General features: G+C 40.5%; 1 protein-coding gene and 1 pseudogene across 39 annotated transcripts in view, besides 1 other annotated feature; both read right to left on the bottom strand.

Annotated features, from left to right (window-relative positions):
- The window catches only part of KANK1 (KN motif and ankyrin repeat domains 1), a 275,809-nt gene that overhangs the window by 182,865 nt on the left and 67,737 nt on the right, over positions 1-25,207 (bottom strand). For 12 of the 39 annotated variants that reach the window (XM_047423041.1, XM_047423067.1, XM_047423060.1 and 9 more), the window contains 2 exons: positions 23,606-23,723; positions 22,572-22,731 (listed from right to left, as the gene is read on the bottom strand). The exons of 17 other annotated variants lie outside the window; for them this stretch is intronic. The gene's annotated coding sequence lies outside the window, so the exon portion shown is untranslated. Of the gene's footprint in view, positions 1-13,517; positions 14,133-15,897; positions 16,123-22,571; positions 22,732-23,474; positions 23,565-23,605; positions 23,724-25,207 lie in introns of those variants that run through there. 10 more of the 39 variants (XM_047423056.1, XM_047423045.1, NM_001354334.2 and 7 more) reach the window with 4 other exon arrangements.
- RNU6-1327P (RNA, U6 small nuclear 1327, pseudogene) lies at positions 4,309-4,413 on the bottom strand (annotated as a pseudogene).
- Positions 4,885-5,436: an enhancer, noted in NCBI's record as "NANOG-H3K27ac-H3K4me1 hESC enhancer chr9:557803-558354 (GRCh37/hg19 assembly coordinates)". NCBI's record gives its function as "activates a minimal SCP1, AML or CMV promoter by ChIP-STARR-seq in primed H9 embryonic stem cells {active_cell/tissue: H9 hESC(primed)}" and the evidence as "EXISTENCE:reporter gene assay evidence [ECO:0000049][PMID:30033119]".

Here is a 25,207-nt window from a genome sequence, read left to right as displayed (position 1 = left end):
CATAAAATTATTTTCTATTAAGGGTCAGTAAGTAAAAAAAAAAAAAAAGTCTGACAAAATATTTCATTCATTTGCTCGAAGTGATTTTACACAATAGAGCTACAGAACACAGGCTTGGTTCCATCTTTCCTCTTAAATAACCAAAAAAGAGTACTTGATCTAATCTCTTTCATGTAATTAGAAATCACCTGAAAAATGCAGAATCTGGCTGTGAGAGTGATTTGAGAATTGATGGATCTGCTTCCCTGCTTGTAAGAATGAATAGCAGTACTTACTCCACAAAGATGAGAAGCACACATTTTCATGGGTGCCTCTCTAATGTGTTAATAAAACAATGAAATGCTAATTTCATTTTTTTCATTCAACAAATATTTAGTGAATTGCAACTATGAGCCAAACATCAAGGCAAAATCAAGCAAAATCAGACCCAACTTCTGCCGTGATGAAGTTCACTAGCTCTTTCATCCATTAGAAAGCTTTAAATTGGAAATCTCCACTAGCATCGGTTGTCTAACTTGACAACTAATATTTGTAAAGCATTTTACAGGTTAGAAAGTACTATCCAATATATCATCTCAGGAAATCCTCACTGTAACTCTCTGACTTGTATTGGTAATTCATCTCCTATGCAGGTTAAGAAACTACAGCTCAGAGAGGCCCAGTGGCTTACTCAAGCAGTGAAGCTGGAATCCCCTTTGCTGATAATCTCAGTGCACTACACCATCTCACTGCAGCTGAGCTTTAGGTCATGAGGATAAAACACGTGCAAAATCACTTTGAGCTCTTTACTGGGAACATGATCTAGAGCAGCTTTTTGTCCGTTCCCATCTTCCCCAGAAGCAGTTGTTACCCAGCTCTGGCAGGGTGTAGAAAATGCAATTTACTTGGGCCGGGCGCGGTGGCTCACGCCTGTAATCCCAGCACTTTGGGAGGCCGAGGCGGGTGGATCATGAGGTCAGGAGATCGAGACCATCCTGGCTAACAAGGTGAAACCCCGTCTCTACTAAAAATACAAAAAATTAGCCGGGCGCGGTGGCGGGCGCCTGTAGTCCCAGCTATTCGGGAGGCTGAGGCAGGAGAATGGCGTGAACCCGGGAAGCGGAGCTTGCAGTGAGCCGAGATTGCGCCACTGCAGTCCGCAGTCCGGCCTGGGCGACAGAGCGAGACTCCGTCTCAAAAAAAAAAAAAAAAAAAAAGAAAATGCAATTTACTTACTTGGAAAACCCCAACTTACCTAAGTTATAAAATGGTTAATCTGCTGAAAGATTCCTTTACTATTTCTATCATACATGCAACCTAACAGCATTGCGTTGTTGCCTGCCATGAGCCTCTCTTCCTTGGTCAATTTCTACAGTGCTTTCTGAATACAGAAAACGTCTGCAGTATTTTCTCTGTTACAGACTCTTGACAGTTTTCTTTAACAGTGTGACTTACATAGTAAGACTGAAATGTGAAAGTTCTAGATGAAACAGTCATCTGGTCCTACACTAAAACTTTCATGCATTTTTTAAGGAGCCTTAGATCACTGTCCAACATTCAACCCACTGCCAAAATCCTATGACAACATCTCTAATTTGGGGTAATCTGACTTCTTTAACACATGCGGTTCCTATTACTGGTAAGAAGCAGTTTGGCAATAAGTATTCAAAAGCCATAAGTAAATAGTACCAATGCTGACTCAGCTGTCCTGCTGCTAAGAATTTGTCCTAAGGAAACAACTCAACAAATGCACAGTGATGAGTGTATTTGAGATATCTTCATTGTAGAGTTGTTGTTTATACTAAGAAATTGGAAATGACCAAAGTAACTGTCAGGGATGGTTTTAATAAATAAGAGTGCACTCATACAGAGAGATGCTATGTAGCCATTAAAAATCATATGAACATATCAAATAGTTACATAAGATATACATGCTCTATCAAGTGAAAAAAGTGATTACTAAATAGTATATGATATCCATTTTATGTGTGTTTACAAAGCAAAAATTCTTAATTGATTGAAATAGAAAAACATATCCTTCTTATGTCTACCCATAAATTCCAATCCTGCCCCCCTGAAGTTGAGAATTAACTTTGCTCTCCTTTCCACCCCGATAGCCTTTCAACTATTCCTGGTAGGGCATAGTTTCTAGTCCATTTATTTCCCTGGCTTACCCTCTTAAAATGTAGAACTTGTTTGAAAACAAGCCCTCGGAGGTAGCCTAACGAAGTCAGAAAACAACGGGATGATTATCTCCTTAATTCTGAGTACTGTGCCATTAAAGCTGCCAGAGAAGGCCACCCATATCAAATGGTTGGCTGAAACCTTCAATCTTTTTAACAAGAGCTGCTACTGATCCAGGTCTCCCATTCTATAAACATGCAACTTTCCCCCGACTCTAGGAAGCTGCATTCAGTAGAGCTTAATTGTGTATTTGTTCATGTTGATTGCCTTCAACTTTTTGCAGCCTTTTTTTTTTTCTATCCTGATGTCTGACATCCAGTTGGTTAGCTTCCCTCCCAACAATGGGATAGACACAAATTTGATCCACCTTTCTTGATCAAAGACCACTCTTCTCAAACTAGAATATCATGACATTGGGAAAGGGCTACTCAAACATTTTATCTGGTGATAATTTAAAGTATTTTAAAACAAACATGGGCATGTTAAAAATACAAAGTGAATGCATCTTTATGTGAAAACATGAGTCTTCAAAGACATTTCGCTCCTGGCTGTGCCTCTAAAGTCTCCCTACATCCTGCCCACAATCCAACCTTCAATTCCTGTACCCTCAACCCTCTAAACCCTCCAAAATAAAGTATAAACTTTCCTCTTCCTTAATAGTTCCCTGATGGAAAAGTTAGAATAGCACTGGCAAGGCAGTGAATTGCACAAAGTCAACAGTTAATCAACCTGCAACACATTCATCTATCTTATTACAATCAAGCCCATGCTTTTCCAACTTATCCATAAAAAATCCTAAGAACTTAATGAAACATGTAGTTTTTTTATTCTGATATCCTCTAACAACAACATTACCCAAATTCTCTCTCCAATAAGTATCTGATTTATACAGGAAATGAGGTTAATTCAAGAAAGGCTTGTTCTTGAGAAACCCATGCTGACTTAACCACACTGCTTTCCCAGGTAACCACAAACTATCCCTTCTTCTCCCCATTTATTCCATTAGAGGATTATTCCATATCTGCTGTTTAAAAGGCACTGAACTAGGGTCTACAATAGAAAACATGGAGTCAGATGGAAACTTCTCTTCTAAGACGAAGAAGGATGACACGTAACTACAATACAAATAACTATAATACATGGTAAAAATGCTTAAGAAAGTTCCAGAAACAGGGAAGCACTAGCCAGCAGAAGGAAGAGTATGTGAAGAACAGAGTATGTGTGAAGGGGCATAACAAAGATAAGACTGGGGCACATGGTAGAGAGCCACAACCATATTTAATCCGAGAAAACTCAAATCTTGTTAGGAAATCACCTGAAAGCCTTCTGGGTCACATTTAGAAAAATCTCTCATTCCCTATGTCAGAAAATGTACATGTTTTTCATTTCTGAAAAATATCTGTTTGTCTTTTCCGTCTTTTTCACCCTTCTCCCGTCTTGAAAGATTGTCAACAGAAGTCTACAAATCAGAAATTATTATGCACTTACATTTTACAATTTAGAGGTTTAAGGTTTATACAGCATTTTCAAGCAGATTGCCTCTGCAAGACTTTTTTAAGTGTCCCAAGATATAATGAAACCAGGCCTGGACACTCAAACTCAATTTCAAGTACCACATATTCAGTCACCACCCTCAGCCTAAGCATCCATCACTTTTACCTACTTTTTTTTTTTAACCTCTCCAATAAAAAAGTCATCATCCTTCAAGTTTTCTAAGCTTGGAAAAAATGAAAATCACAAGTGAATGACAGTGTTGACTGTACAATTAAAACCTTCAATGCACAAAAATATTAAATGGATGATCTCTGCAAAAACCTCTGCAAGAAATTATAAATGGCAACTACCATTAACTTTTAGTTTAGAATAAATCTATAAAACCAAAAGAACAGACTAGACAACTCACAAGAAGGTGACAAATCTTTGGGAAAAACACTCAATGCCTATCAAGCTCCCCCAAAAAGGCTCATTTAAAATACAGATCACAGTTGTTAATTAAGAAATAAAGATGAAAAAATACAGTACATCCTTATTATTCACGGATTCCACATTTGCAAATTCATCTACTAAAACTTATTTATAACCCCAAGACTAATGCTCATGGTCATTTGCGCACAGGTGGAGAGAACCAAAATTTTTTTTTCTTTTTTTATTAAGGAACGCTTCACGAATTTGTGTCATCCTTGCACAGGGGCCATACTAATCTTCTCCGTATCATTCCAATTTTAGTATATGTGCCACTGAAGCAAGTACACACCAAAATATTTGAGTCACTCCACATACATGTACCCAGCTGAAGCCAAAAAACCAGCCTACACTCTTTGTTCTAGCCCTTATACTATTAACAAATGTCCCTTTTGTGGCTAGTTTTTAGGGCTTTTTTTTTTCATTTTTGTGGGTTTCTTGGTGATTTTGCTGTTTAAAATGAGCCCCAAACATCATGCCTTAGTGTCGTCTAATGTTCTTAATCACAACAAGGCCATGATGTGCCTTAGGAAGAAGAGACGCATTGGCTAAGCTTCATTTAGGCATGAGATACAGTGCTCTTCGCCATGAGGTCAATGTTAATGAATCAACAATGTATATTAAACAAGGTATCTTTAAACAGAAACACATGCAAAACAAGGCTATGTATTGATCGGTTGACAGCTGACAAAATCGTTATAACCAGAGGCTCACAGGAATCTAACTCTGTATTGTTCCCCTAGGAGCAATGGCTCAGTATTCACTAATTATGTCCACAGCGACTTTATAGAACATAACTGCCACAAATAATAACAGTGGGGTGTTCTTCCAAATTATCCTCTATTTCCCCTATTTCCTGCAGTGAGCAGTTTGCTATCTCTGGATATCCTATTTATATAACAGAACAGCTCCAAGTCATAGGTCTAGACTTCTTTGCTATGCTCCTCCTTAATGCCCTTCCAAAATTTTCCTCTAGCCTTTTCAAAGGTGCCTGCCCATTCTACACTGGTTTTTTCCACCTCCTCTCACAGCATCTGACTAATCCGATCTTCACTCCTGGGTTCCTTGACATTCCTACCATTGTTCGTATAGGTTTGTTTGTTTGTTTTTTGAGAGAGTCTTGCTCTGTCACCCAGGATGGAATGCAGTGGCGCGATCATAGCTCACTGTAGCCTCAACCACCCAGGCTCAAACAATCCTTCTACCTCAGCCGCCCAAGTCGCTGAGACCACAGGCGTGTGCCACCATGCCCAGCTAATTTAATTAAACCAGCCCAGGCTGGCCTCAAACTTCTGGGCTCACACAGTCCTCCCACCTCAGCCTCCCAAAGTGCTGGGATTACAGGTGTCAGCCACCACACCTGGCCGTACAGGTCCTTTTACAAAACAGATTTCCTTAGTTCTTGGGGCCTCAGTTAAGTTCTTGGGCTGCCTTCTCCTGTTCTTCCTCACCCAAGGATTAGTACTTTCGTGATCTGTCTTCTACATTACTATCTGTGGCCATGAGATCATATGTACATTTTTGACTAACAGTTTGGCTATTTTTCAATAGCCCCCTACCAAGAATTCCCTGCCTTAAACTCCAGGATGATATGGACATTTTTCCCCATTGTCACTTAAAGTTCATTTAGAAACATCTGGTAGGATCCTGAACCTCCACATTCATTTTTGTTCTAAATTTTTAAACCTTCTATCATGAAAAACTTCAAATATACACAAAAGAGAATACTATATTGAATACAATGCACCCATCACTAAGCTTCAACAATGATACATATTTTGCCAGCCTTTTTAATATATTCCCTCTTTTTCTGTTTTATATTTGCTGGAATCTTAAAGCAAAACCAAAACAATATATCTTTTCACTTATAAGAACATCAGTGTGCATTTATAACTAATGAATAAATTTTTTTTTTTTTTTTTTTTCCTTTTGAGACATGGTCTTGCTCTGTCACACAGGCTGAAGTGCACTGGCGCAATTTCATCTCACTGCAGGCTCAACCTCTCAGGCTCATGTGATCCTCCTGCCTTGGCCTCTCAAAGTACTAGGATTGCAGGCATGAGCCACTACACTCGCCCAGAAATTTGTTTTTAGAGTAACTACCATGCCATTAACAAACCTAACAAAATTAACAATTTCTTATCTTCAAGAACTCAATTCATATTCAAATTTTTATCATCTCAAAGCTGGTTTGTTCAAACAGGAGTCCAAAGTCCCCATACTGCATGTCATTACTGAGACCATACTGGGACTAAGGCAGGGAGGAATGAGCCCTAAGTGAGTCTGTAACAAGCGAGAAAGCAGCTCATTCAACTAAAAGAATTAAATTGGAGGTCTGGCCCAAGAAAGTGGAAAAATAAACAAAGAAAACTAAAACTATTCAGGAACATCATGAAGCAGGGCAAGAGCTAGAGAGAAAAGTACCAAAGGGGCTAGCAATTTGAGTAAGGAGAGTAACTGGACAAATGACAGAATTATCTTAATGGAACAAGGACTTTAGCTTTAAAAATCTCACTTTGGATCAATGAAGTAATGAGAAACAGTTACTAAAAAGCAAAACCGCATAGTCATTGTATCTAATTCCTCAAATTTTAGTTTCATAAGCACCTTTGTACATCATAGCACTTTAATAATTATAAGTTTAAAATGATCATGGCTAACTCCATGAGACTAAGATCTGGATCTGGCTGACTCCAGAGACTAAGACTCACCACGTAGTCAGAGGAGAGCACAACTCAGAAACCAAGGTTCCCTAAGTCTTCCCTGGGAATCACTAAACTCACATTGAACTTCTAACTGCATCAGATACAGACACATACAGAGAAAAGTTTTATATAAGCAATGCATGCTCGTTAATTAAAAAAAGAAAATTAACCAAGATAAATTCTAATACTTCTCACTTTTTGAGGTTTATTATCAGAAATAGCTCTAAAATTTCTCCTCCTCTTTAAAATAAGATTTTTTAAAATGCTTCTGTATTCAGTTACAATTCTTTGGGTATTTTCCCCCCAAGGTAGAGCCAAAACAGACTGTAGAGAAAGAAGAAATAAGAACTACAACTTAGTACCCCACCAACAACTTTGCAGCAGTATTTTATAGTATGATTAAAAAGTCATTTTAAGTATAACTCTGAAAATGTTTAATGATTACTTTAAATGTGAGCACTGATGTTTGTCTACACAAGTTAATGATGTTATTATAACATCATGAAGGTTAAAAGTTGTTTGTTTTTATTTAAACAGAAGGGGTTGTCGGCATCTTTATCACCACTAAAGGTAGTTTTAGCATTTCAAAGGGATTTTTTCCTAATTGTATTTTGAGAAACACATTTCTAAAAACACGTATGTACTAGGAACTCACAGATCTTGTCAAATTGAATATTTCATATTCCAGTACAAGTCTGGACACATCAAATCTAAAGGAATTTCTTAAGGCTTAGTAAACCAACCTCTGTGATTTCATCTCCAGCCAAATGGGAATCTTACGCTTTTACAGTTATTTCAGCTAATTCTCAGTCACTGCAAGAAGACAAACGCAGCAAAGGTTGGATGCTGAAACATTCCAGAAAAAGGATAATCCCCATCATATACAAACTATAGTATTTTACCTAATTGGTATCTGAATCCTGATTTATGTTCACTCATTTGATTTATTTAATTTAGCAGTATAGTGACTATGCCATATACATAGCAGACTGAGTGGAAGAGTTTATCATCACAAAGCTGACACTGCACAGTTTGCACATCTAAGTCACGTGCCATCATGTACATGGTGTGGAAGGTAGGGGAGGCAGGTGTCCCCACTGTCTTCCCAATAGTGGTGATGGCTCCATAGAGTCATCGTATCACCCTTGACTCTTCAGGACTTCAGATCGCCATCCTGCTTTGGATTACTGACGTGGTATAAGACTAGGAAATGGCTTTCTCAGGGATTAGCTACTGGCCAGCTCATTTCACGAGCACTTATTACTATCCAGGGGTTCTACTGTCTTATGACTTATTAGTTGTTCTCAAAGTGTGGTCGCTAGGCCAGCAGCAGAAACATTACCTGGTATGCAGGTTAATTTCACGTGCCAACTTGACTGGGCAAACGGATGCCCAGGCAGCCGGTAAAACATTACTTCTGGGTGTGCCAAGAAGAGATCAGCATTTGAATTAGTAGACTTCACTAACTCTCTTCCTGTTTGCCCTGAGAATACTTGCCCATGGTGCTTGCAGCTGCAGTGTTTACCCCAAGATAACCTTGCCACGAAAGATCTCGTTTTTTAAATTTTCACATCGTTCTAGTATATCGACTTTGGAAACAAAAGACATCATCCTATTTATAGGATTCTGTTTTTAGTAGTGGCATTTCCATTTACAAAATATAGTAATTCTCAATTGCTGAAAATGTCAAATCCTAGAAAACATAGCATTCCTATGAGTGATGTTAACATCGTTCTCTAACAGTTGATGGAAGATTCATTTGATGAATCCGATTTTTCTGAAATAGATGATTCTGATAATTCAGATGGTTGTGATGTTAGTTCTGTTTAGAAATAATATTTTCTATTTTATTTTCACACTGAAAATCAGTCCGATTTGCTTTAGCCTCCAACAGCCTGTTTATGTAAAATTAAATAAGCACTGGCCACAAACCGCACTTTTTTTCTAAGTGGGAAAAGGGTTAAGACCGCCAACATGGATGCTCATCAGTGTGGATGGGTGTCATCCAATCAGTGAGGGCCAGAATAGAACAAAAAGGGAGAGGAAAGGCAAATACTTGCTCTCTGCTTGAGCTGGAACTTCTATCTTTTCCTGCCCTCAGACATCAGCGCACCTGGTTCTTGGATCTTCAGACTCAGATGGAGATGGAAACTTACGCCAGGTGCTCCCAGGTTCTCAGCCCTCAGACTCAGACTGAATTACACCAATGGCCTTCTTGTTCTCTAGTTTGCAGATGGCAGATCTTGAGACTTCTTGGGGAACATCCTGGGACTTCCTGGCCTTCGTAATCACATGAGCCAATTCCTATAATGAATCTCCTTCCTAATATACCTATGCTGTCTCTTTGGAGAACCCTCATACAGCTGGTAACTTGTCAAAAATGTACATTTGTACGCCAGTCCCAGAACTCCTGAATCAGAAGGTCTGGGGTTGGAGCCCAGCTATCTGTGTTTTAACATAATGCTCCAGAGGACCCAAATGCACGCTAAAGTTTGAGAACCACTGCTATAAATTATATTTTTTTAAATGAGCATTCATTCAGATTTCCATTATATTTGGGTTTAATTTCCATTAAACCTATTAAGTACAGGTTATTTTCTAATATTTCTTAGTATAGATTTTGTAATATTCCTATAAAAGTAAATTCGTATAGAGGGAAGCTTTGAATTTACCAAAGTTCAGTAGAAGAGGGTGACTAATATGAAACTGAACAATTGGCTTATATTTTTCTCATACTTCATCTCTGGAACAAAATCCTTACAACAGTTTATAAGGAAACGCTTCATTACATTGCTCACATTTACTTCATCCCCTGTGTTACACAGGTTCTTGGCATTTGAGGTGACTTCTGATAATTGCCTAAAATGAACCAGAACTACAGGGTGCGGAAGATCAAGGACCCTGAGAAGATATGAAGCTGAGGACTCAGCTTGATCACTTTCCACCTGCGTGCTCTTAGAAAACTCAGCCACTTTAAGCCTCAGTTTCCCCAAATGTTTAATAAAAATCACAGTATACCCCTCATCATAGGGAGAAAATCAAAGGTGTTTAAAGCTGATTGCCTGGCACAAAGTAGCCCTCAATGCTCCACAGTAATTTTATCATTATTAGCTAAGATAATTATTTCATTTTAAATACTTCTGAACACACTTAAGTCCCTGGAAGGTAGAGGTTGTAAACAACTAAATTGCTTTTCATTGCAACCACCTGATAAATGATTTTTTTAAATAAAGGTGACAAAATTACAATTGCATTCTTTTTGAGACAGGGTCTCGCTGTCTGTCACCCAGGCTGGAGTGCAGTAACACAATCATGGCTCACTGCAGCCTCAACCTCCTAGGCTCAAGCGATCCTGCCACCTCAGCCTCCCAAGTAGCTGGGATTACAGGTGTGTGCCACCAGGCCTGGATAATTTTCTAATTTTTTTGTAGAGAAGGGGTCTCGCTATGTTGCCCAGGCTGGTCTCAAACTCCTGGGCTCAAGCTATCCTCTTGCCTTGGCTTCCCAAAGTCCTAGGATTACAGGCGTGAGCCACTGCGGCCAGCCACAATCATGTTCATTTCTAACAAAGGATCACATGGTAGAAAAATAGCTCATTCTGCAAATAAAAGCAGTGTATGCAATACCTAACCACAAGCACCCTGATCAAGAGAAAACATTTCAAAATATTTTCTTTAAAGATCCCTAAATTGTCACAGGGAAAAAGGCCAAGGCATAGTACAGACTTGAGCAGATTAGTCAAGAATGTGATTTGATGAATTAAAGAAATTACATTTTGGCAGGGCTGAAGCAGAAGGCAGGCAAAATTCCAAGTTTCTTCTGGTTCATTCAAATGAGCAGTTCCCTTCCTTTGTGCAGCTAATAACGTCATATTAAAACATATTATATTTAAAAGGTCAAAAAGCCATGTGAAAAGAAAAAGTCACTTAAGAATCTTCTAGACATGTGCCAGGTTGACATGAACACCATTATCAAATATTGTTTAACAACTGCTGAGGAGATGAGGGTGTGCGGCCTTCATAAAAATGAGTTTGAGTCTTGGCTTGGGCAATCACCGGCTAACTGACCTTAGTTAGGCAGGTCCTTGGAACCTCCTAATTGGTCTTCTTGCTTCTACTTTCGTCTTCTTCCTGTTCATTCTCCCACAGTAATCACACAAGCAGGCCAGAGCTCCCTTTCTACCTCAGGGTGTCTGCATATGCTATTTCCGCTTTTCCCCCTCAGAGCACCCGCTGCCAATCTTCACACAGACAATTCGATCAGTCCTTCAGGTCTTAAGTCACTTCTCAAGAATGCCGTACTTGCCTAGGCTAGATTAGATCCTACTGTTACATGCTCCCTTTATTTTTGTTTTTTTGAGACAGGGTCTCACTTACCCAGGCTGGAATACAGTGGTGCGATCATAGCTCGTTGCAGCCTTGACCTTCTGAGCTCAAGTGATCCTCCCAACTCAGCCTCCTGAGTAGCTGGGACCACAGGTGCACATCAACACACCCAGCTAATTTTTGATTTTTTTTTTTTTTTGTAGAAACAAGGTCTTACTATGTTGCCCAGGGTGGTCTCCAACTCCTGGGCTCAAGCAATCCTCCTGCCTTGGCCTCTCAAAGTGCTGGGATTACAGGTGTGAGACACTGCACCTGGCCCCTTATTTTGTAACTCTTATCACCATTATAACAACACCGATGGTATCTTTTTAATGTCGTCAGTCTGCCCTACTAAACTGCAAGCTGTGTGGAGGCAAGAACCATGTCTGTTCACTGCTGTATTTCTAGCACCAAGTGGAGCGTCTGGAGCACAGGTGAGAGTAACCATTATAAACGGTCCTCACCATTGTCCCAGCCATCCAGAATAACCAGCTAACTTCACAGAGTTAAGAGGTAAACACTTTCAGATCAGTTGGGTTCACAGATGTGCAATATTGTCAGATGAAAAGTAAATTCAACATCTTCCTGGTTTCCAAAGGCAGAATCAAGAAAAACCTGAAAAACAACTGCGGACCCTCTGAATTTAAACTGACAGCTAACTTCAGATTCAAAATTTGGGAATCACGCCTATAAAACCAAGCAAACTAGTAGATTGACTCTGGTATGAAACACCATCATGGGTAACAGCCCTGCCTCCCATCTACTCAATCTGGACAAAAAGAGGGAAACAGGCAAATGTGTGTGTCTTCTGCTTGCCCTTATTCTTCATCTTTCCACTTTTATTGTAACTGCGAAAAGCCCCAGGCAACAGAGGGGGAGAGCTGCCTGAGCTTCTTATGACAATCTGGTTATACTGAGCCACACATGTTGTATTAACCATGAATTGACACCCCAACCCACATCATGTTCCTCATTCATTCCCATCCATTTTCCATCTTGGCTTTCCTCCCTGACCCATCTCTTTTTCTGCTTTCCTTTACTTTCTACCACTCAACTTCTCTCAAGATGTGAGGCACAAAGATACAGCAGAAAGAGGGCTGGATTTAAAGACTCCTGGAGCCTTTTCCTGGAGAAACTGCTAAAACATATCACAGGAAATTATTCTGGAGTCTGGGAAAAAGAAGACTTTAATAAAGTATAGACAGTTCGGAGAAAGAATGGAAAAAGAAATAGGATGAAATGAAATTGTTAGGAAGAAAAGATGCCTGGGCCTTACGCTCATAATTAACCTTGTAACTCCCACACCGCCAAACATCTACAGTGAAGAGCTTGTGTATCTTCTTAGGCTGCTGGCCACTACCTTGCACGTGAGAGAATTTAATCCAACAAAGAAGAACAAATCACTTTCTGACAATGGTGTAATGTTTTTGTTTTATTAGAGACAGGGTCTCCCTCTGTTGCTGAGGCTGGAGTGCAGTGGCGCGATAACTCATTGCGGCCTCAAACTCCTGACCTCAACCAATCCTCCCACCTCAGCTTCCCAAATTGCTGGGATTATAGCTGTGAGCCACGCCACCTGGCGTGGTGTTTTGATAAGATACCTTATCTGTTCTTGCTGTTTAGCTCAAAGAAATATACTGTTCGAGATCTGCAATCAGGCTTCATGTACGGATGCAGGGAAAAAGGAGTGGCTAGGCACTGTATTATTAAATAAGAAGGAGGTTTTTTTGGTAATAAACACCCTATAACGGCTTTCATAAAACCCAGTTAAGATTGGAGCTTTAGAATTACCAATATCCAAAACAATACTTAAAATTACAGTATCCCTGGGGGGAGGGGAGGCGGTTGGGGTGGGGGAACCTACCACAGACTGTCTGCTTATTTATCCCACCTGCAATGTGATTGCTTGCAAACAGGTAACTCGTGATTCTGAATAATTATCCTGCATCCAACCCAGTGGTGTTGCGACTGCTGACATTCCTCACGAGAAAGCAAGTCCTTGCTTTGAAAGGTGTCAGTTATGTGGAAAGGACCAAAACCCACCTCAGTGTCCCCAGTGTTAATTCTCCTTTGTATATTACCCTAGGGAACTTTCTGACCACTGCCCCCTCAACCCAGGACTTTGTGCGTGCCACCCCCCAACCTCCATTAAGGTTCATTTTACCCTCTGGAAGCTAGAGGGAAATGAAAGCAGTCCCAGGAAGAACCGGGCTTATTTCCTCCACACAGACAATAACCGCCACCTGCGTGAGGATTTACGCACCAAACCGTCCCCTCACCCCGCTTCATAGTTCCTATGTCATACAGTCACAGCCACTCATACCTCAGAGGACGAGGAGGAGAAAGGACAAAGGGGCCAGGTGGCTTGGGCAGAGGGAGGAAAAGGTGGCTTCTCTTTCACACTCCCACAATACAGCTATTGCCGGTGGAAGCCAGGCTGCTCCCCATCTCGGGCTGTGTTGAGACAGCTGTTGGAGCCAGAATAGGAAAAGGAAGGAAAAAACTGTCCTCCCTAAGGACTGCTAGTTTTTTATTTTGAAGGAAGGAAAACTGCTTAACATGAACGGGACCCCGTCTTGAAGCACTGTGGAGCTTTCATCTATCAGTTTAGTTCTATCCTGCCATGAACCAATCCTTGGCAATTCTCACTAGCAAGCTGGAGAGCCTGAACATGAACGAAGTCAGCCATAGGAGGAGGCCATTGTTGACTCTTTCCCAAAGGGCACAGTCAGTGACAGGGGTCTTCGGCAGGCACCTGGCACACAGTCACATCCACTACAGGAAGTCAGCGGGGAGACCTTACAGGAAGGTTCTGGGAGGGGGTCTTCTCTACTCTCTCAGGCGGACTGCGAGGACTGTCAAAGGAAGAGTGAGGAAGAAATAAAATCAGAGAAGGTGAAAAGCTGAAAATTCACACAGGTTTCTTTGTCCTGTTTTTCTGTGGAAGAAGTAGAAAAAAAAAAAGAAAAGAAACTTTAGAATTATTGGTGGAATTATAATGAAAAAAGGTAACCTTACATGACCATATCTATAATTTCATGCAATGATAGTTCTTTGACCAGACCATAAAATTTCTGTCATTTATATATTTGCATTTATTGTCCCCCTCTCTTATTTTATTTTTTAAAAATAAAGATAGGGTGTTACTATGCTGCCCAGGCTGGTCTCGAACTCCTGGACTCAAGCAATCCTCCCATCTCAGCCTCCCAAAGTGCTGGGATTACAGGTGTGAGCCACTGTGCCTAGCCTCTATTTTATTTTTATTACATAAACATAACGTGGTCATTATAAAACTTTAAAAATCTTGATAAAAAAATTTTAATTAAATTCAATTCCCAGAGAAACTATGCAATTAACATTTTAGTATATCCTTTCATTTTTTCTATACACACATAAAAATACACGATGGGTTAGTTGGTAGGGGTGTTTGTTTATAAAAATTTCCTATATTACAACTATTGGAATTTTTTCACAGAAGTCACAAATATCTGTTTGTGCAAACAAATGTCTGCTTTCTTTTCTTAAACATTCTTGAGAAACACCCCTGCTATTTAGCGTTAAAGTCATCCCAGAAAGCATGTGAGGGCATCTGTACGTGCTGCTGAGAGTTTAAAAGCCAAAGAAGTAAGTACCAAGTTCACGTACAACAATAAAAAGCTCAGGAACCCCCCAACTATCTCACTGACAAACCTTCAGGAAGCCCTCCTGAGTTAATACCTAAAATAACACCAAGAAAAAGCTGGGACTCTTCCCTGGCGGATCTTTTGAAGTGAGAAAAATCTTTTGTAACCACTTTTACTGAAGATGTGTAATGTGGTTTAGAATGACTGCTGATACTAAGGTTTAAGAATTATCTTACTTTCCCTTATTTATCCATAATACATATTATTTTCTCTAGAAATCCTAAGGAATTTTTTAGTACTAATGTAATAAAAGGATTTGGCCAAACCATGAAATACATGAGAAATAGTTTTCCTAACTATAGAAAACCATATGCTATCATAGTTATGAAGGAAGATTATGGATTTCATGGTATAGACAACTTAAACAGATGTTTATCAACACTTCCTGCAGTCCTAAAGAAAAAAAACATAAAAAAAAGTCAGATGATCTCAGGCTTCTTAAATTACATGATGAAAGACTGCCATAATCAGAAATAAAGTTTAACATCAACATCCTTCAGCCTAAAACTTACCACTTTTTGTCCACCACCACCTTCCTCTTTCACAGCATGGGCTAGTCCACTGCAGAAATGTGTTTTACTATTTTGTGGAGTGCCAGACCAAGCAGTTATACAGAGACACAAGAAAAGCATGCTCATACCGTTTATATAATGGTACCCACCATGCAGGAAGAGAATTCTTATCACTAGCCCTATCTTTGAAACCATGTGAAAGACAATTTAATAGAAAGAGGCCTAAAATATATCTGCATAGAGTAATTCAGAAGGGAATGTGCCCACAACCAAGGCTTGCCTATCTCAGATTCAACATGGCCAGCAGTTTATTTTAATCCGTCTCCCCATCACCATCTTTAAATTAAGACACTTCCTGTTTTTAACCCAGTCTCATTGCTTGCACACACTGTGCCAAATCTTAATACTCAAGCTCGTTTTCATTCTTGCACAGGCTTTAGATTTACACATCGTTGCGGGGTAAAATATTTCTGAAAACAGAAAAGGCAACTTTGCTCTTCAAACTTACCCAGGGCTTTCCGAGACAGTTCTGTGAATTCAAGTCCTTCCCCATTGACAAAATGTTACTGTAGACTTTCTTGTTAATTGAACCCAAGATACTGCCAGCCTGACGTTAGAGGGGCTCACAAAACTTAGCCAGCAACCTTTTGTACTGAGCAAAACACAGATTATCAAATGAGCAGCCAGCATGTCTAAGGGACTCTCGTGCTGCAATGTGAGAAGGCTGAAAAAGAACACCAACAGAGGGAGCTGCTAATTAATTCTCCTCCTCCGCATCAGCCCCAAATGTTTCAAACAACAACCGATCTGGGAACACAATTTTGACATTGTTGAGATAATGACCTGATTTGTTCCCAAAATGCTGGGAGAGCTGCTGCAACCCTATCTGGTGAGAACCATTTGTACTCTTTCCTTCCCAAAGCCAGAGTAGGCTCATTTCCAAAGACAAGGAATACTTCCTGTCTTTTTTCCAAGCCTGACAGTCAAGGGGCTAACTATGCATTAGAGCCTTATCAACATAGCACTCAAGTATGGGCTACTTTAGATTAGCCCGTACTTGGTTGCCAAAATAGAATTTCCTGACAGATACTATTAAAATACAGATGTTTTACAGTGTGCCCAGAAACAGAAATAAGGACACAAGATTGCCTTGCATTACAGAATTTACTGCTTGGGGGAGTGGGGGTGGGAGAGGGAATAGTGAAAATGGCTACATAAGAATAAACAAATGAAAACCTATAACATGATGAGTAAGAGTTCTATGGTAGAGAGGTAGGAGAGGCAAGGTGAAAACTGCCACAAGCAAATGAGACTGCAGCAAAGTATGTAAGGAGCCTGTTCTCAGGTCCACCCACCTCCAGCTATCACCCTCTCTGACCGCCTTTTCCCATGAGCCTGAAAGGGTCACAGACACCAGCGTTTCTCAGCACAACTGGTGTTTGGGGCTGGATAATTCTTTGTTGTCAGGGGTTGTCCTGGACACTGCAGAGTGTTTAGCAGCATCTCTGGCCTTTACACACTAGATGACAGTAGCACCTACCCTCTCTGATTCAGCTATAACAATCATAAATTTCTTCGGATATTGCCAAATATTCCCTGGGAGGCAACATTGCCTTCGATTGAGAAGTGCAGATATATCCTAGGCCACCACGCATGGAAGGTGTATTCTGCACACTAAACAAGTGCACCCAGCTAAGGTGGCACATAAGAGCTGAAGTCCCATGCACGGTCCACTCACCAAGCCAGGGACTGTGTCCATCCAGAAAGGCACACATTTTCTAATGTCTTCAAAGGCTCTGTACTGGCAGGGTGTGGTGGCTCACACCTGTAATCCCAGCACTTTGGAGGCCAAGGCGGGTGGATCACTTGAGGTCAGGAGTTCGAGACCAGCCTGGCCAACATAGCAAAACCCTGTCTCTACTAAAAATACAAAAAAATTAGCCGGGCATGGTGGTGCATGCCTGTAATCCCAGCTACTTGGGAGGCTGAGGCAGAAGAATCACCTGAACCCGTGAGGCAGAGGTTGCAGTGAGCCGAGATCGAGTCACTGCGCTCCATCCTGGGCGACAGAGCAGCGAGACTACATCTCAGGGAATTTAAAAAAAAAAAAAAAAAAAAAAAAAAAGGCTCTGTACAGGCCAACAGTACTGCATCTCCATATGCTGTCACGCTGCCATGAAGTCCCTGAAAGTTCTTGTTGCTAAGCCCAGCAAAATGACTCAATTCTCTTGGCTCTGCAGGAGCTAATGCTGGTAACCACTGCCTCCTTGAAAAGCACCCATGAAGATTTCCTCCACCCTTTCTGTCCATTCCTCCTCAGTCTCCTTTGCAGGTTGCTCTTCAGAGTTCTGCCCTAAGCCCTCTTCTGCTCCCCCACCTCTAACTAGGTGATCTTATCACCTCATCCGCTGCAGTTACTATCCACATGGGAAAGACTCCCAGAACTCAATTCATTCTGCTCTTTCTCTTTTCTGAACTTCAAATGCAGGGTTCAAGCTCACATTTCCCCTTCAATGATCTGTAGATGCTTGAACTCAATCTGTCCATAAATGAGCTCATCCATCTGCCCTCCCAAACCTCCCAGGCTTCCTTTCACTGAGTAGCAGCCAGATCCTCCCAGAAGTCTGGGCACTGGGCTTGATGTTTGCCTCTCCCCATTCAATCAACTCACAGAGATTCTCCTCCTCAACCGCCATACTGAGTAGCAGCCAGATCCTCCCAGAAGTCTGGGCACTGGGCTTGATGTTTGCCTCTCCCCATTCAATCAACTCACAGAGATTCTCCTCCTCAGCCGCCATTTGTCCCCTTTTTCTAGCCCCAAGGTCAGCTCAGGCTACAGTGTCTCTCACTGGGGGATTACTGCAGGTGCCTCCGTTCTCAGGCCATCCTCACATACCCAAGCTGGAGGGATTCCTCCAGCCAGCACTTCACCTACCAACTTAAAACTTGCCAGTGATTTCCCACAACTCTTGAGATAAAGTTTAAAATTTCTTAACAGTTTACCAGGCCCTTTATGACCTACCCTCCCACCCCCACCCAATAATCACACACTAAACTCTCTTTGGTTCTAAACACAGGATGCTCCCCCTCCTCTCCTCTTCCCCAAGTCTACCACTTCACCTGGCGAACTCCACCTCACCCAACAGGTTTCAGCTTCAACTACGACCTCCACCTCCCATTAATGTTCCCAGTATGAAGCGCCCATAACAGCCCGTACTTCCCCTATCAGAGCGCTTACTCTGCATATCTGTCTGGTTCCCCAGCGAAATATGTTACGTCCTCACTTTGCATCATCCATCAGCTTTGGCCTCACTTATTCCTCCACATAGTGTTTGTTGGCCGGTCCATCTATTAATTGCTCATCTCAAATTTGTTATGGCTCATCAGCAATAGTGAAGATAAGAAGTACGAAGACTACAGAATGCCCCTCTCTGCACCAGATGCGGTAGTGATGTTAAAATACATACATGACACAGAACTAGCCCTCAAATATATTAAAGTGGGGAAATGACATAAGAAGTTAACAGGGCCAGGTGCAGTGGCTCTTGCCTGTACTCCTAGCACTTCGGGAGGCCAAGTGGGGGGTGGCTTGCTTGATTCCAGGAGTTCGAGACCAGTCTGGGCAACATGGCAAAACCCTGTCTCTACAAAAAATAAAAAAATTAGCCGGGTATGGTGGTGCACACCTGTGGTCCCAGCTACTCAGGAGGCTGAGGTGGGAAGATCACTTGAGCCTAGGAGATGGAGGTTGCAGTGAGCCATGGTCATGCCACTGCACTCCAGCCTGGGCAACAGAACATTGTCTCAAAAATAAAAAATAAAATAATAAAATAAAATAAAATAAAATAGAACATGAAATGTTATATTTACTAAGCAAATAAAGATAGCGTAAGAAAATAGCCAGGTAGGTAGGAAACAAAAAACTGAGAAATTATCAGGATTAAAGAGATATGATATGGAGCCTCCTAATAGAGAAGCCCTGGATTTGGATTCAGATTTTGAAGACGGTAAGGGGCAAAACAACAGGCATAGAAATTAACTAGAGAAATGTCAAGTCTTGCAACAATCAACTACTTTTTTAAATCAATTAGAGTTATGTTTTTTCAAGTGGAAACTTTGTAAACTGCTGCTAGTTTTCCATCTGCACTGACAGCATAATGCACAATGGTCATTTTCTGGTGAAATGAGAACAAGTCATTGAGATCTGTACTGACTTCCGTAGAAGGACAAACACGCAGTAGTGTGTCTTCTGAAGCTTGCGGATTTTCAATTTTTTTTTTTTTTTTTTTTGAGACAGAGTTTCACTCTTGTTGCCCAGGCTGGAGTGCAATGGTGTGATCTTGATTCACTGCAACCTCCACTTCCTGGGTTCAAGCAATTCTCCTGCCTCAGCCTCCCGAGTAGCTGGGATAACAAGCGCCCGTTACCATGCACAGCTATTTTTTTTTGTAGTTTTAATAGACATGGGGTTTCACCATGTTGGCCAGGCTGGTCTCAAACTCCTGTCCTCAAGTGATCCGCCCACCTTGGCCTCCCAAAGTGCTGAGATTACAAGCATGAGCCACCGTGCCCGGCCTCAATGTTCTCCAAGCACATTACATTGTATAGAAAAATTAATAAATACGTTGGGTGACAAGTTAACTTATTACCTTTAAGGGCTTATTACCGTTTATCACTTTTCCTCCCACTTTTATTAAGGTTATAATTAAAAAATAAAAATTGTATATATTTACAATATACATGGTTTGATGTACATAGACCTCGTGAAATTAAATCTAGCTAATTAACATACCCACCTCGCACTTATTTGTGGTGAGAACATTTGAGAGCTAATCTCTTAGTAATTTCCAAGTATACATTAACTACAGTCACCACACTGTACAATAGATCTCCAGAACATATTTAACTTAACTGAAACTTTTTACCTTTAACCAACGCCCTCCCAAGCACCGCTCATCTCCCAGCCCCTGACAACCACCACTCCGCTCTCAGCTTCTGTGAGAGTTTGACTTTCTTGGATACCACATATAAGTGAGAAAATGCAGTATCTGTCTTTCTGTGCCTGGCTATTTCATTTATGAATAGGTTCATCTATATTGCTGCAAATGACAGGATTTCTTCTTTTGTAAGGGTGAAGAGTATTCCAGTGTACACATATACCACATTTTCTTTACCCATTCATCTACTGATGAACACTTCCACTGTCTCCATAACTTGACTATTGTGAATCATGCTGCGAGGGACACAGAAGTACAGGTATCTCTTTGATTTCAATTCCTTTGGATGTATACCCAGAAGTAGGATTGCTGGATCATATGGAAGTTCAGTTTTTATTTTCTGCAGAACTTCCATACTCATACTATTTTCCATATTGGTTGTACTAACATTCTCATCAACAGTCTAAGAGGGTCCCTTTATCTCACATTTTCCCAACACACTTGTTACCTTTTGCCTTTGATAATATCCATTCTAGTAGATGTGAGATGATACCTCACTGTGGTTTTGTATTTTTTAGTAGAGACGAGGTTTTGCCATGTGGCTAGGCCAGTCTTGAACTCCTGACCTCAAGTGATCTGCCTGCCTCGGCCTCCCAAAGTGCTGGGATTTACAGGCATGAGCCACTGCATCTGGCCACTCACTGTGGTTTTAATTTGCATTTCCCTGATTAGTGATATTGAGCACTTTTCATGTATCTGTTGGTCATCTGTATGTCTTCTATTGAGAAATTTCTATTAAGGTCCTCTGTTCATTTTTTTTTTTTGAGACGGAGTCTCGCTCTGTCGCCCAGGCTGGAGTGCAGTGGCGCGATCTCGGCTCACTGCAAGCTCCGCCTCCCGGGTTCACGCCATTCTCCTGCCTCAGCCTCCCGAGTAGCTGGGACTACAGGGGCCCGCTACCACGCCCGGCTAATTTTTTGTATTTTTAGTAGAGACGGGGTTTCACCGTGTTAGCCAGGATGGTCTCGATCTCCTGACCTCGTGATCCGCCCGCCTCGACCTCCCAAAGTGCTGGGATTACAGGCGTGAGCCACCGCGCCCGGCCTGTTCATTTTTTTAATCCGGTTATTTATTTTCTTGCTATTGAGTTGTATGGGTTCCTTGTATATTTTATATATTAACCCCTTATCAGATGTATGGTCTGCAACCATTTTATCCCATTCTACAGGCCATCTCTTCATTCTATTGTTTGTTTCCTTTTCTATGCAGAATTTTTTTTTTAGTTTAACACAATCCCATTTGTCTATGTTTGCTTCTGTGATACTTTTGAGGTCATATCCAAAACATCATTGCCCAGGCTAATGTCAAGAAGCTTTTTCTCTGTGTGTTCTTCAAGTAGTTTTATACTTTTGGATCTTACTAAGTCTTTAGTCCATTTTGCAGTCAAATCCTCTACCCCTGAGCCATGCCCCCAATCTTTAGTCCATTTTGAGTTGATTTTTGTATATGGTGTGAGAAAGGGGTTTAATTTTTCTGTATGTGGATGCCCAGTTTTTCCAACACCATTTATTGAAAAGACTCTCTTTTCCCCATTGTGTGTTCTTGGCAACTTTGTCAAAGAGCCAACCGACTGTAAATATGAATTATTTCTGGGGTCTCTATTCTGTTCCATTGGTCTATATGTCTGTTTCTACACCACTACTATGCTGTTTTGATGACAGCTTTTTAGTATATTTTGAAGTCAAGTAGCATGATGCCTCCAGCTCTCTGTTTTTTTGTGTTTTTTTTTCGTTTTTCAACAAACCAAAACTTAAGAGATGCAGCAAAAGCAGCACTACAAGGAAGTTTACAGCAATCAACTCCTATATTAAGGAAGAAAGAGCTCAAATACACTTAACTTTACACCTCAAGGAATTAGAAAAGGAACAGCCCAAAGTCAGCAGAAGGAAAAAAATGAACATTAATGAAACCAGGAGTTTTTGAAAAGATAAAACTGACAAACCTTTAGCTGAACTAAAAGACAAAATTATACATGAAAGATGAGACATTACAATTGATACCACAAAAATACAAAGGATTATATAAGATACTACTATAGACAAATATATGCCAACCAATTAGATAACCTAGAACAAATGGATAAATTCCTAGAAACATACAACTTACACCAAGGCTGAATAATACAGAAATAGAAAATCTGAAGAGACCAATAGTAAGTAAGGAGATTGAATCAGAAATCACAAACCTCTCAACAAAGAATATCCCAGGATGTCACGGCTTCACTGGTGAATTTCATCAAATATTTAAAGAGAAGAATTAACACCAACCCTTCTTAAACTCTTTCCAACAACTGAAGAGGATGGAATCAACCCTTCCAAACTCATTTTGCAAGGCCAGCAAGGACACTACAAGAAAATAAAATTATGGGTCAATGTCCTTGATGACTAGAGAAGCAAAAATCCTCAATATAATACCAGCAAACCAAATTCAAAAGCACATTAAAAGGATCATACACCATGAACAAATGGGATTTATCCCTGGGATGCAAAGATGGTTCAACATATGCAAATTAATTAAAATTAACTAATACCACGTTAACAAAATCGAGGATAAAAATCAAGGGATCATCTCAATAGATGTATAAAAATCATTTGAAAGAATTCAACATCCTTTCATGATAAAAACTCTCAACAGATTAGGTATAAAGAATGGACCTCGACATAATAAAGGCCACATACGGCATGCCCGTAGCTAATATCATACTCAGTGGTAAAAAGCTGAAAGCCTTTCCTCTAAGATCAGGAGCAAAACAGGATGCCCACTCTTAACCACTTCTATTCAATATAGTACTAGAAGTTTTAGCCAGAGCTATTAGGCAAGAAAAATAAAATACATCAAAAATGGAAAGCAAGAAGTTACTCTGTCTCTGTTTGCAGATGATATAATCTTATATATAGAAAACCTTCAGAACTTCACCAAAAGATTGTTAGAATAAACTCAGTGAAGTTGTAGGATACTAAAATCAACATATAAAAATCAGTAGCACTTCTATTATATATACTAATAATGAACTATCTAAAAAATAAAGAAAATGATTTCATTTACAATAGCATCAAGAGAGAATAAGGCCGTGTGCAATGGTTCACACCTGTAATCCTAGCACTTTGGGAAGCCAAGGCAGAAGGACTGCTTGAGTCCAGGAGTTCAAGACCAGCCTGGGTAACGCAGAGATGTCTCTACAAAAAAATTTAAAAATCAGCCAGGCATGGTGGTACACACCTGCAGTCACAGTTACTTGGGAGGCTGAGGCAAGAGGATCACTTGAGCCCAGGAGTTCAATGCTGCAGTAAGCTGTGATCGCACCACTGCACTCTAGCTCAGGTGACAGAGTGAGACCCTGTCTCAAAAAAAAGAAAGAATGAAATACTTAGTAATAAATTTAACCAAGGAGGTGAAAGATCTGTATGCTGAAAACTATAAAACATTGCTAAAAGAAACTGAAGACATAAATAAATGGAAAGATATCCTGTATTCATGGGTTGGAAGAATTAACACTGTTAAAACTGTTCATACTCCCCGAAGTGACCTACAGATTTAATACTATTCCTATTAAAATTCCAATGTAATTTTTTACAGCGGAAAAAAATATTGTATGGAACTACAAAATGCCCCAAACAGCCAAAGCGTTCTTGAGCAAAAACATGCATGACATTTAAAAACTGGAAAGTTTTCAGCCAGGCATGATGGCTCATGCCTATAATCCCAGCACTTAGGGAGGCCGAGGCAGGTGGATCACTTGAGGCCAGGAGTTCAAGACCAGCTGGGCCAACATGGTGAAATCCCGTCGCTACCAAAAATATAAATATTAGCCAGGTGTGGTGGCTCATGCCTGTAATCCCAGCTACTCGGGAGGCTGAGGCAGGAGAATTGCTTGAACCCAGGAGGTGGAGGCTGCAGTGAGCTGAGATTGTGTCACTGTACTCCAGCCTGGGCAACACAGTGAGACTGTCTCAAAAAATAAATAAATAAAAAACAAAAGCTGGAAAATTTTCAAACAAAAACTTTTATAGGTGTCATTTATGAAGTACTTACTATGCCAAATGTGTAACAAATATGTTGTCCCTTATAACCATCCTCTGAGGGACAATCATTATTTCCATATTACAATTAGGAAAATGGAGGCTCTGATCCAATCAGAGACAGAATTCCACCCCAACTCTGACTCCTTCCTTATGTTCTAAGCTGACTCTCAAACAAATAACTAAGCAAACAATAGCTTTTGCTAGATAGCACCACGCTGTTGAAACCCACCTGTTTGAAGGAACCTCTGCAGGTATCTATAATTAAGTTAGGACTGTTCCAACTTGAACTAGTTGCTGTCAATTTAGTTTTAAAAACTGCTCCAGCCTGAGGCAGAATGTGCCTCTTAGGATCCTCAAAATTGTTTTGTCAATCATGGAGTAATCTTTACTGAAATGCTATAAATGTTTTTCTTTCCCTCTTCTTCCTGGAGAACTGATAACAATTCTGAAATGTGTAAGATGTCTGCCCCTCCTTTACTCAACTTTTTACAAAAAAACAGGGCCCTGAGATAGAGGGCCTTGCACACAGTCTCCTGCTCAGCTGCCTGAGAAGGCATTACTGAGCACTTACTACATCCCCATTTTTTGCAACACGATCTTTCTCAAGTACAATCATCCTAAGTTGGGCACTATTATTAACTTTTTTTTTTTTACAGACGAGAAAGAAGGGGCTGAGAGAAGTCCAGAGCTTGTGTTCTTTCCGCTCTCCCAACCATGTTGATTCTGCCACAGCTCTACCATCTGCTTTTCAGTGCTGCCCTCAATAGCTCTGCTCCAAGACAGAAAAAAAAAAGGATGA

Source organism: Homo sapiens, chromosome 9 (genome assembly GCF_000001405.40).
Source record: "Homo sapiens chromosome 9, GRCh38.p14 Primary Assembly".
In the NCBI taxonomy this organism is placed as follows: domain Eukaryota; kingdom Metazoa; phylum Chordata; class Mammalia; order Primates; family Hominidae; genus Homo; species Homo sapiens.
Note: the sequence above shows the minus strand (reverse complement) of the source record. Positions and strands in the feature narration are given on the sequence as shown.